The 12264-nt window shown below is 43.9% G+C and overlaps 1 long non-coding RNA gene across 1 annotated transcript in view, besides 2 other annotated features; it reads left to right on the top strand.

Annotated features, from left to right (window-relative positions):
* LOC101929555 (uncharacterized) overlaps window positions 1-12264 on the top strand; it is a 144395-nt gene that overhangs the window by 72226 nt on the left and 59905 nt on the right. The window lies entirely within an intron of this gene.
* Window positions 1098-1950: an enhancer, noted in NCBI's record as "NANOG-H3K27ac-H3K4me1 hESC enhancer chr6:40916844-40917696 (GRCh37/hg19 assembly coordinates)". NCBI's record gives its function as "activates a minimal SCP1, AML or CMV promoter by ChIP-STARR-seq in naive H9 embryonic stem cells {active_cell/tissue: H9 hESC(naive)}" and the evidence as "EXISTENCE:reporter gene assay evidence [ECO:0000049][PMID:30033119]".
* Window positions 2791-3085: a silencer, noted in NCBI's record as "tiled region #875; HepG2 Repressive non-DNase unmatched - State 22:ReprW". NCBI's record gives its function as "represses a minimal TATA promoter and a strong SV40 promoter by Sharpr-MPRA in HepG2 cells {active_cell/tissue: HepG2}" and the evidence as "EXISTENCE:reporter gene assay evidence [ECO:0000049][PMID:27701403]".

Raw genomic sequence — 12264 nt, 5'->3', positions numbered from 1 at the left:
TTAGGAGCTGCAGGAAAATTGAAATAAATGCAAAATTACTTTTGGCAACTGGACTGTGCTCATTTATATGTGATGCTGTGCAGAGAATGGGTCGCATGGGACCCCAGCTTATATTAAGGTTGTGTGTGCATATGTTTGCAGGAGATATTTGAATGTGAAAGGTGATATGTAAAAAAAAGGGTTCAGTGACAGAGACACTAGGGCTGAGAAAGAAGAGAAAAGGGGAGAAAGGAATAAAAGAGAAAGAAGAAAAAGGGGAAGTTATTAGGAAAATGGACAGGTAGGGATAGACATACAGAGAAGTCTCAGGGAAACAGAAACCAAGGAAAGTAAGTTTTTCTTCTACCTGTGTCCCAAGGCTCTCTGCTACTGGGTTTCCCAAACTTTCTGAACTGTGATTAACTATTAGGAATATGTTTTCCATTGCTACCCATTACTTATACAGATATACAACTGCAAAACACACACACACACCCCTCTTTTCTTTCTTTCTTTTTTTTTTTTTTCGAGATAAGGTCTTGCTCTGTCACCCAGGCTGGAATGCAGTGGCACGATCATAGCTCACTGAGGTCTTGAATTCAAACTCCTGGGCTGAAGCAATTCTCCTGCCTCAGCCTCCCAAGTATCTGAGATTACAGCCACCAGCCACTGTACCTGGCCCTTTAAAAGAAAATATGCTTACCCTTGTGGCCAGCAATGAGCCCCATCTCCCAGTATTTGTGCTATTTTGTGGTCCCCTCTCACATTGAATCTGGACTGCTTCAGCCAGTGAGACATTAGCAAGGGTCCAAGCCTCCAAATGAAGGCTTGGTAAGCTCTAGCCTATTGGAAAGTGTGTCCTCTTGGAAGGTTTACTCTTGTGATGCTTCCCCTGGGAACCAAGCTGTCATATGGTGGGAAGCCCAAACTAGCCATACGGAGAGGCCACTTGGAGAAGCACCAAGGTCCCAGCTGAGTTCCCAGCTGATAGCCAGCAACAACTTGCCAGCCCTGTGAATGAGGCATCTTGGAAATCAATCTTCCAGCCCCATTTAAGCCACCCCACCTGCTGCCCATGAAGCGGAGATGAACTGTCCCCACTGAGCCCTGCCAAACTGCAGAATCATGAACAAATGAATGTTGTTTTAAGCCCGCTAAGTTTTGGATTGTTTTGTTTTATGGCAGTAGACAATCAAACATCTTTATTATAAGCGACACACCATGATGTTATCTATTATGTTGCATTCTATTCTATTTTTCAAAGTGCTTAGTTGATTTCATGACCCACTAATAAGCCGTGATCCGCACTTTGAAAAGTACTACTCTAATTGATGCAGACGTGATTGAGATCATCTGTCTTCCAACCTCTCCCTCTATCCTGATGCTCTTAGAATCACGACATATAAGAAATGAAAGTGTCAACGAAAAGAATCAAACTCTGTAAAATATTTGAAGAGATTTATTCTGAGCCAAATATGAGTGACCATGGCCCGTGACACAGCCCTTAGGAGACCCTGAGAACATGTGCCCAAGGTGGTTGAGGTGCAGCTTGGTTTTATACATTTGAGGGAGGCATGAGACATCAATCAAATACATTTGAGAAATACATTGGTTTGGTCCAGAAAGGCAGGACAATTCGAAGGATGGGGGGAGGTTCCAGGCTATAAGTAAATTTAAACATTTTCTGGTTTACAATTGGTTGAGTTTGTCTAAAGACCTAGGATTAATAGAATGGAAATGTTCAGGTTAAGATAAAGGACTGTGGAGACCAAGGTTCTTTTGAAGTCTTATAGTGGCCGCCCTTAGAGACATAGATGACAAATGTTTCCTATTCAGACTGTTAAAAGATGCTAGACTCTTAGTTAATCTCTTAGGAGGATTGTGAATGGCTAGAAGAAAAAGATCTAACTGTGTTAATACAGATTCTTTACAGATGCAGATTTTCCCCCACCAAGGACGGCTTTGCAGGGCCATTTCAAAATACGGTGAAGAAACATGTTTTGGGGTAAAATATTTTGATTTTCTTCTTTGTCACATAATGTTATGCCAGAGTCAGACTGGAAAGTAAGTCACAATACATAGGGTTAAGTAAAACCCATCTGATGGGAAGGTATTTATCCCTTCCCTGTGCTTGGCTATGAATCCTATAAGCACAATTTACAACAAGCATGGTCTATAGGTGACGAATCCTTCCAGATACTGATGTCACCCCGACTCCCTGCCCAGATACCTGCTCCTCTGCCTATTTCTCCAGTCTCTGGGTTAAGATGGAACAAGCATCTTTCTGAGTCACTCAGGCTTTCTACATTACAGTCCTACCAAATACATGGCTTCTTCCTCTCATACTGTGATTCCTGAATTGTGTTCCACAGGCCAGATGTATTGCATGCGCCTGGGGAGCTTGTTAAACATTGAGTCCCAGGCCCCACTGTAAGATACAGCCTCAACACTCTCTGGAGAGTGGGGCCTGGGAATCTGCATTTTAACAAACTCCCCAGCTAGTTCTGCTGCACATTGGCATTCAGGTTCAACTATTCTAGGGGCTTATACTCTAGATCAGTGCATTTCAACCTTTTTTTCTTTTTTTAACCTCAAGTCACAGTATGAAAAACATTTACATTTTGTCTCCGTGCATATGCACATATATGTAAAAGAAACACAAGTTTCATCAAGCTCTATCTGTGTGCTGCATTCTGATTTTTAGTCTGTTTTATTTTTTTCAAATGCTGGTTGTGACTCATTAAACTGATTTTATGACTCAGCAATGGGTCTCACTACACAGTTAAAAACAAAACTGACCTAAGAAAACACAGCCTAGATACTTGTATGGTAGATAGGGTGGATTCTGAGTGCTTTGCTGTAATGATGATTGTTTGGAGTTGCAAGCTCAGTTTGTCTTTTTTCAGGTGCCCTTTGATTCTAATGCTAATGGGGCTTTCATTCCTGCCACACTGATAACTTTCTCAGTGCAGTGATCCTCAAGAGAACCCTGGGAAGTAAGCATGGTTTTTCCTGTGGCTGGGTCTCCACAAGAGCCCAGTCTAGTCTCAGAGTGCAGCTGGTTGCAGATTTTGAGGCCTGGGGCTTCCTCCAGGGCTCAGTTTGCAGGAACCAGTAGGCCTAGGAGCTTCTGGCTACAGGAGGAAGGAACTAAAATGGGGCAGGACAGTGCAGGGCTATGATGGCTAATCTCCGCTTTCTCCCCACGGAGTTTGTTCCTGAGTCCTGAGGGAGCGGGAGCTGGACTTCAACATCTAGAGTAGGGTCCACGAAGGACCCTGTGAACCTCCCTCCAAGGGCCAGGCTGCTTCAGGATCTACCTGCTCCTGAGCACCTGCAAGTTACCTCTGGGGACTTCCAGAAACAAATTAGAGGAGACCACTCAGGCAGAATATGGAGTGCCTGCATCTTTATTATCCAATAATGTATGGAACCTCCTCTTGAATTGATATTTTTCCCTTATGTAACTCCTTTTTTTTTTTTTTTTAAGAGACGGAGTCTTGCTCTGTCACCCAGGCTGGAGTGCAGTGGTGCGATCTTGGCTCACAGTAACCTCTGCCTCCTGGGTTCAAGCAATTCTCCTGCCTCAGCTTCCTGAGTAGCTGGGACTACAAGCACACACCACCACGCCCAGCTAATTTCTTTTGTATTTTAGTAGAGACGGGATTTCACTGTGTTGCCCAGGCTGGTCTTGAACTCCTGAGCTCAGGCAATCCGTCCGCCTTGGCCTCCCAAAGTACTAGGATTACAGGTGTAAGCCACCGCGCCCAGCCCTTATGTCACTTCTTGGGAGTTCCCTAGATTCACTGCCTCCTGGGTAAATAGTACTTACTTGTCCCTAACCTGCCTCTCTCAGAGGCAAAGTGGACAACCTTCATGGGCTGATCCAGGGTTAGGGCCCGGTCCTTGTTTTCTGTTTCATCCTCTCTGGGCCTTCACATACTCTGCAGTCTTGATTCTTCCAGCCTGAAGAAGTCTCCTCTTCTCTATCTGTCCTCAGATTTCAGTCTCTCTGTCCTCTCCATCATTTTGACATTTGAGACAGCCACTGAAATCAAAACAGATTCAAAAATGTGCCATTTATGGTGTCCAAGAAAGGCAACCTGATCCCCAAATGATTGATTTAGTGTTTGCAGCTGGGCATGGATGCAGACAGACAGCTAATGAGGTAATTTTTCTAAATGCAAAATGTAAACAAGGTAACAGCTCTCTCCCTCCCTGTGAGTCTCTCTGGGTTTCTCTCCATCTCCCTCAGTTTTCTGCAGAGAGTCACATACCAGTTTGCATTTCTTCACTGTTATGTGTAGACTCATGTCCTCCTCCTACCATATGACACATTAGAGTCCTAACCCCCATTACCTCAGAATGTAACATTATTTGGAGATAGGATCCTTACAGAGGTAACAAGTTAAAATGAAGTCATTAGAATAGGCCCTAATCCAGTATGACTGGTGTCCTTTTGAAAAGGGGACGTTTTGGACACAAACACCCATAGAAGGAAGACGATGTGAAGAGACACAGGGAAAAGATGGTTATGTATAAGGCTGGGCGAGGCCTGGAATGGATTCTCCCTCCCAGCCCTAAGGAGGAACCAACCCTGCCCATACCTTGATCTCAGGCTTCTGGCCTCCAGGTGGTGAGACTATATACTTCCTTTGCTTAAGCCACTCAGTCTGTGGTACTTTGTTCCAGCTGCCCTGGCAACTGGATACATACACATTTAAAAATCTGTGCTGGCCGGGCACGGTGGCTCAAGCCTATAATCCCAGCACTTTGGGAGGCCGAGGTGGGTGGATCATGAGGTCAAGAGATGGAGACCATCCTGGCCAACATAGTGAAACCCCATCTCTACTAAAAATACAAAAAATTAGCCGGGTGTGGTGGCGGGCGCCTGTAGTCCCAGCTACTTGGGAGGCTGAGGCAGGAGAATCACTTGAACCTGGGAGGCGGAGGTTGCAGTGAGCCGAGATTGTGCCACTGCACTCCAGCCTGGCGACAGAGCAAGACTCCGTCTAAAAAAAAAAAATCTGTGCTTCTGTGTCCTCTCTGTGGGAAATTCTCCTTCCTGAGGGGGAGGAGGGCAAATTGGGTAAAGGCTGAGGCAGATTTACCTTGAAGCGGGTGAGATTTAGGCTTTGGGGCCCTCAGCTGCACTGGCCCTTCCAAAGCCCTGGGGACGTTTACGCGGGGGCCTATGTTTCTGTAAAATGTGCAAATGGTGGTAAAACCACAGTCAGTTATGACTGTTGATTCTCTTCATGGCAGTTTTCCCTCCAGCCTTTTCTATTGCGTGGTGGCCTTCAAGTTGCCATGCAGTGTTGAGTTGGAAATGCATGTAATTGGGGTTCAGGGGGTTATAGGTATGGCTCACAGTCATTTCCACACATCTTGCTACCCATCTGGTTTGGCTCAGTGTCCCCACCCAAATCTCATCAAGAATTATAATCCCTACGTGTTGAGGGAGGGAAGTGATTGGATTATGGGGGGCATTTTCCCCCATGCTGCTATTGTGATGGTGAGTGAATTCTCACCAGATCTGATGGTTTTATAAATGGTAGCTTTTTCTGTGCCTTTACCCTCTCTTTCCTGCTCCCTTTTGAAGAAGGTGCTTGCTTCCCCTTTGCCTTCCATAATGATTGTAAGTTTCCTGAGGCCTCCGCAGCCATACGGAACTGTGAGTCAATTAAACAGCTTTCCTTTATAAATTACCCAGTCTCAGGGAAGTTCTTTATAGCAGTGTGAAAACGGACTAATACACCATCCCCACGTAGGAATGGCTTCCAGGGGCGCTCCTACACCCTATGTAGTGATGTAGGCCAAGTTGCCTCACCATGCAAATGGAACCCATGGCACCCAGCACCAGAAGAATGTGGGTAGTGGAGGAATAGCAAGGTTTGAGTATAGAGCCAGAAGCTAGCTGGTGATGGAAATTCTCCCAGTCATCAAATGTATAAAATTATAAGTTTAGTATTAGAGGGCTGTGACAAGCAGTTAATGATAGGATATTACTTTTCTGCATTGTAGATACATTTGTGGTATTTGTCAGCTTTTGGAGTTTCTAATTTTTAATGTGTTTCTTAAGATATTTACTTTTGTACCCTATTTCGTGTTCATAATATTGTACTGTTTTCCTTACAAGGGATCCTAAAATTGTACAAGCTTCAGGCTCCATTCGATTTTCTTTTTCTTTTTTTTTTGAGACAGAGTCTTGCTATGTCACCCAGGCTGGAGTGCAGTGGCATGATCTTGGCTCACTGCAACCTCCACCTCAGGTTCAAGCGATTCTCCTGCCTCACCCTCCCTAGTAGCTGGGATTACAGGCACATGCCACCATGCCCAGCTAATTTTTGTACTTTTAGTAGACACAGGGTTTCACCATATTGACCAGGCTGGTCTCGAACTCCTGATCTCAGGTGATCTGTCCGCCTCGGCCTCACAAAGTGCTGGGATTACAGGTGTGAGCCACTGCTCCTGGCCAATCTAGATCTGGCTCTGGTGTGAGAAATAAGGGAGGAAGAGAGACTGGAGCCAGCAGGCAGGGAATTAAGAAGAAGTGAAGAGGGGACATGGAAGAGGGATGCAAAGGCCAAGAAGCAAGTGGGGGGCAGTGGGCAGGGCTTTGGACTGGGAGCTGGAGGATGGCAATCAAGGCCCAGCCCTGCTGCTCATTTTGCTCTATGCCTCTGTGCAAGTCAGTTTCCCTTTCTGGAATCTCTTCTTCTGTAATCTCTTCTTCTGTGTGAGAGGTGTGTGTGTATGTCGGGGGGTGGGGGCAGGGACGACCTCTAAAGGTACCTTAGACTCCAGTGGTCTAAGGTTCCATTTACCTGAATCACCAAGGGGAGAAGATGGAGTCAGAATTGTTAGTGGTTGAGGGAGCCATTGTCTGAAGGAGGAGGAGAGGTACCATGAGAAGCATCCCTCCCAGATGGGGCTGGAGTCACCAAAGCTCCCAGCTGGGAATCCTATGTGACAGGTAAGGTTGGGTGTGGCAGGCAAGTTCTCTCTGGTCATTCAAATGTTCATCTATTTCTTAAACAGCTATGCACGGGGCAGATCCTACAGGCTAGGCACTGGGGACACAGCAGTGAAGGCTGCACAACCCTATCTTTGAGGACCTGACAGTCAGCAGGGGGGACAGAGAATGCAGCAAGCAGCTCCAGTGCAGAGGCATCCACGCCCTTGCAGAGGCTCATCCGTTTCACCGAGTTTGCTTAGTGAGGCTGAAAGGTGTGGACATGTGTGATCCAGTGGTCTGATCGTGGCTGCACGTTTTGAATTACCTGGGAAGATTTTATAATAAATATATTTACTTAGACCTACCACCAGGAAATCTTAATTGGTCTGGGATGGGACCTGGGTATCAGCATTATTTATTCATTTAATTTCAATAGTTTTTGGAGAACAAGTGGTGTTTGGTTACATGAAAAAGTTCTTTGGTGGTGATTTCTGAGATTTTGGTGCACCCATCAACTGAGCAGTGTACACTGTACCCAGTGTGTGGTCTTTTATCCCCCACCCACCTTCCACACTTCCCCCTGAGTCCCCAAAGTCCATTGGATCATATTCTTATGCCTTTGCATCCTCATAGTTTAGCTCCCACTTATATAAGTGAGAACATACAATGTTACTTCACTTCATTCCTGAGTTACTTCACTTCAAGTAATGGTCTCCAACTCCATCTGGTTTGCTGCAAATGCCATTATTTCATTCCTTTTTATGTCTGAGTAGTGTTCCATGGTGTGTATATGTGTGTGTGTGTGTACCAGTTTTCTTTATCCACTCGTTGATTGATGGGCATTTGGACTGGTTTCATATTTTCACAATTGTGAATTGTGCTGCTATAAACATGTATGTGCAAGTGTTTTTTTTTTAAATTATTTTATTTTATTTTATTTTTTTTGTGTAATGACTTATTTTCCTCTGCATAGATGCCCAGTAGTGGGATTGCTGAATCAAATGGTAGATCTACTTTTAGTTCTTTAAGGAATCTCCATGCTGTTTTCCATAGTGGTTGTACTAATTTACATTCCCACCAGCAGTTTAACATGTTCCCTTTTCACCACATCCACACCAACATCTATTATTTTTTTATTTTTTAATTATGGCCATTTTTGCAGGAGTAAGGTGGTATCACATTGTGGTTTTGATTTACATTTCCCTGGTAATTAGTAATGTTGACCATTTTTTCATATGTTTCTTGGCCATTTGTATATCTTCTTTTGAGAATTGTCTATTCATGTCTTTAGCCCATTTTTGATGGGATTTTTTTTTTCCTTGCTGATTTGTTTGAGTTCCTTGTAGATGCTGGATATTAGTCCTTTGTTGGGTGCATAATTTGTGAAAATTTTCTCCCATTCTGGGTTGTCTGTTTACTCTGCTGATTATTTCTTTTGGTGTGCAGAAGCTTTTTAGTTCAGTTAAGTCCTATCTATTTATCTTTGCTTTTGTTGCATTTGCTTTTGGGTTCTTGGTCATGAAGTCTTTGCTTAAGCCAATGTCTAGAAGTGTTTTTCCAATGTTATCTTCCAGAATTTTTATGGTTTCGGGTCTTAGATTTCAGTCTTTTTTTTTTTTTTGAGATGGAGTCTTGCTCTGTTGCCCAGGCTAGAGTGCAGTGGCATGATCTCAGCTCACTGTAGCCTCAGCTTCCAAGGTTCAAGCAATTCTCCTGCCTCAGCCTTCTGAGTAACTGGGATTACAGGTGCCCGTCACCATGCCCAGCTAATTTTTGTAGTTTTAGTAGAGACAGGGCTTCCCCATGTTGGCCAGACTGGTCTCGAACTCCTGACCTCAAATTATCCTCCTGCCTCGGCCTCCAAAGTGCTGGGATTACAGTTGTGAGCCACCGTGCCTGGCCAGATTTAAGTCTTGGATCCATCTTGAGTTGATTTTTGTATAAGGTGAGAGATGAGGATCCAGTTTTATTTTTTGACATGTGGCTTGCCAATTATCCCAGCACCATTTGTTGGATAGGGTGTCCTTTACTTACTTTATGCTTTTGTTTGTTTTGTTGAAGGTCAGTTGGCTGTAAGTATTTGGCTTTATTTCTGGATTCTCTATTCTGTTCCACTGGTCTATGTGACTATTTTTATACCAGTACCATGCTGTTTTGATGACTATAGCCTTGTAGTACAGTTCGCAGTTGGGTAATGTGATGCCTCCAGATTTGTTATTCTTGCTTAGTCTTGCTTTGGCTATGTGGATTCTTTTTTTGATTCCATATGAATTTTAGCATTGTTTTCTCTAGTTCTGTGAAGAATGATGATGGTACTTTGATGGGAATTGCATTGAATTTGTATGTAGATGGTTTTTGGCAGTATGGTTATTTTCACAATGTTGATTCTCCCCATCCATGAGCATGAGATGTGTTTCCATTTGTTTGTGTCGTCTATGATATCTTTCAACAGTGTTTTGTAGTTTCCTTGTAGAGGTCTTTTACCTCCTTGGTTAGGTATATTCCTAAATGTTTAATTTTTTTTGCAGCTATTGTAAAAGTGGTTGAATTCTTGATTTGATTCTCAGGTTGGTCACTGTTGGCGTATAGCAGTACTACTGATTTGTGTACACTGATTTTGTATCCTGAAAATTTACTAGATTCATTTATCAGATCTAGGAGCTTTTTGGATGAGTCTTTAGGGTTTTCTAGGTATACAACCATATCATCAGCAAACAGTGACAGTTTGACTTCCTCTCTACCAATTTGGATGCCCTTTATTTCTTTCTCTTGTCTGATTGCTCTGGCGAGGAGTTCCAGTACTATGTTGAACAGAAGTGGTAAAAGTGGGCATTCTTGTCTTGTCCCAGTTCTCGGGGGAATGCTTTCAACTTTTCCTGTTCAGTATAATGTTGGCTGTGGGTTTGTCATAGATGACTTTTATTACCTTAAGGCACATCCCTTCTATGTCAATTTTGCTAAGGGTCTTAATCATAAAGGGATGCTGGATTTTGCCAAATGCTTTTTTATGTCTATTGGGATGATAATATGATTTTTGTTTTTAATTCTGTTTATGTGATGTATCACATTTATTGACTTGCATATGTTAAACCATCCCAGCACCAGCATTTTAAAAAACTTCCCGGGTGAGCAGCCAGGGTTGAGACCCGCTGCTTACAACCACACTTCTCAACCTTAATTGAGAATCTGGGGACCTTGATCAATGTAGATACTAACTTAGTAGGTCTGGGGTGAGGCCTGAGACTCTTTCTAACCAGCTCCCAGGTTATGCCGATGCTGACTTTTAGCAGAGGTGCTCTATGATCTGACCTTCATACCGTCTTCGATCTCATCTTCTCCTTACTTTCCCCCTCATCCTCTCTGTTCCAGCCACACTGGCCCCCTTGCTGAAGCTTAAATACTCTAGGCTCACTCACTTGTTGTGGTCTTCACATGTCCTCTCCCTGGAACATTCACTCCCAGATGTCCATATGGCTTGTTCCTCACGTCTTTCAGTTCTGCTTAAAAGTCACTTGTTGGAGACGGCTTTCTCTGACCATCTGACAGAGGATAGCACCTGCATGCCCCATCTTTATCCTCCCCCACCCTGCTTGCCTTTTCCATGGCACTTCTCATGACATGATAATAGATCATGTGTCTATTGTATCTGGGGTTCTCATCTGTCTTCCTCACTAAAATATAAGCTCCATGGCAGCCAGAACTTTGTTTTGCTCCCACCGACCACTCTAGCACATAGAATAGTGCCTGGCACATGAAAGATACTTGGTAGATATTTACTACATGGAGAAAGCAAGGAAAGAGAGGTGGAACAGGGATAGTTAAAACTTAGAATCACAGACTTGTCAAAGTTGGGAAGACCTCAGAACATCATGTAATTCAATATTTCTCAGTGAGTTTGCTTCTGGCATTTTGGGTGGGATAATTTGTTTATCATAGGGTACTGTTTTATGCATTGTAAGTCATTTAGGATCCATGACCTTACCCACTAAATACCAGTAGCCCCACAAGTTGTAGTGACCTCCCCCGACCACTTAGGTGGGGATCAGCTCCCAACTGAGAACCACTCATCTTGTTAGATTTTCTCATTACATAGATGGGGGAATTAAGGTGCAGAAACGTGAAACTATTTGCCCAAGGAGACATGGCAAGTTAATGGGAGACCTGAGCCAGAGTTTAGGATTCCAAAGCTTCAGCTCATGGTGTGTTTGGGTTTGTTTTGTTTTACTATAGTTTCAACATCTTGCTCTCAAGGAAGTCCTCTTGAAGAACCCCTAGGATGAGGTTGGAGGAGAGCTATCATCCCCAGATAAGACATGTTGCCAGAGGGTCTCAATTTTTCTCCTGCTTCACCATAGGACTGATATCAGAGTGTCCAGGGTCTGTAGAATCTAGATTATGCCGAGAAAGCAGACAATCCCTGCCTCTCCTCCTCCATGCTGGCCCCTGAAGAGAAGAGTTTCTCTGGGGACCATGACAAAGCACCCTGATTGAAAGTCATCCCTCAAACCTTTTCAGTCTATTAAGCAAGGGAAATGGATTTGAAATTGAGCACACGTTAGTACAGCTTTGGAAAAGTCACTTTTATTAATCAACATGGATTTTACTTTTCAAAGTTACATAATGGTGTTATATGTTCTTCTACTAAGTAAAGGCCTTGGAATAAGTTGGTCCTCAGGCAGGAGCCCTGGGGTGATGCCATCTTTCTCCAGTGAGGCCTAGGAGATTCTCTCTAAGGGCTGTACAACTGGACTTTCCTTTAGCTGGGACCCTTCTGGTACCTGGAGTGTCTCCATCCTACATGACTGCCAGAGGAGGGCAGATGTCACTGAGCCTCTGGGCCCCATGAGGGTCTACCCAGTAGAATAGAAAAGCCAGGCCAGGAAACTCTAGCCAAACCCTTTCTACTCTTCCTTCTCTTCTTTGTGGTGGGGCACTGGAACTCCATGATAAGTTCACAGTGATTTGGTTGAGAGGATGTCTGGGGTGGGTAAATGGACATGGTAACTTGAAGACCTTATTTCTTTGTATTTCACAAGACAGAGTGATAAATCAGAGATGGTTCTTCTGTCCAAAACAGGGACGTTCAGTGAGGGACTATAAATTTCATGTAAAGGGACCCAAGCCTGTGGCTCTGTGCCTGGAACATAGAAGAAACACAATATAAATACTGTTCAACTCATGGACATAGTGAGTAGAAAGCTGGTTACCAGAGGCTGGGATGGGTAGTGGTGAGCTGTGGGGGAGGTGCGGATGGTTAATGGGTACAAAAAATGTAGTTAGAATGAACAAGACCTCCTACTTGATAGCACAACAAGGTGACTGTAGTC

This window comes from Homo sapiens, chromosome 6, assembly GCF_000001405.40.
Source record: "Homo sapiens chromosome 6, GRCh38.p14 Primary Assembly".
Lineage (NCBI taxonomy): Eukaryota > Metazoa > Chordata > Mammalia > Primates > Hominidae > Homo > Homo sapiens.
This window is presented reverse-complemented; position numbering and strand designations above follow the sequence as displayed.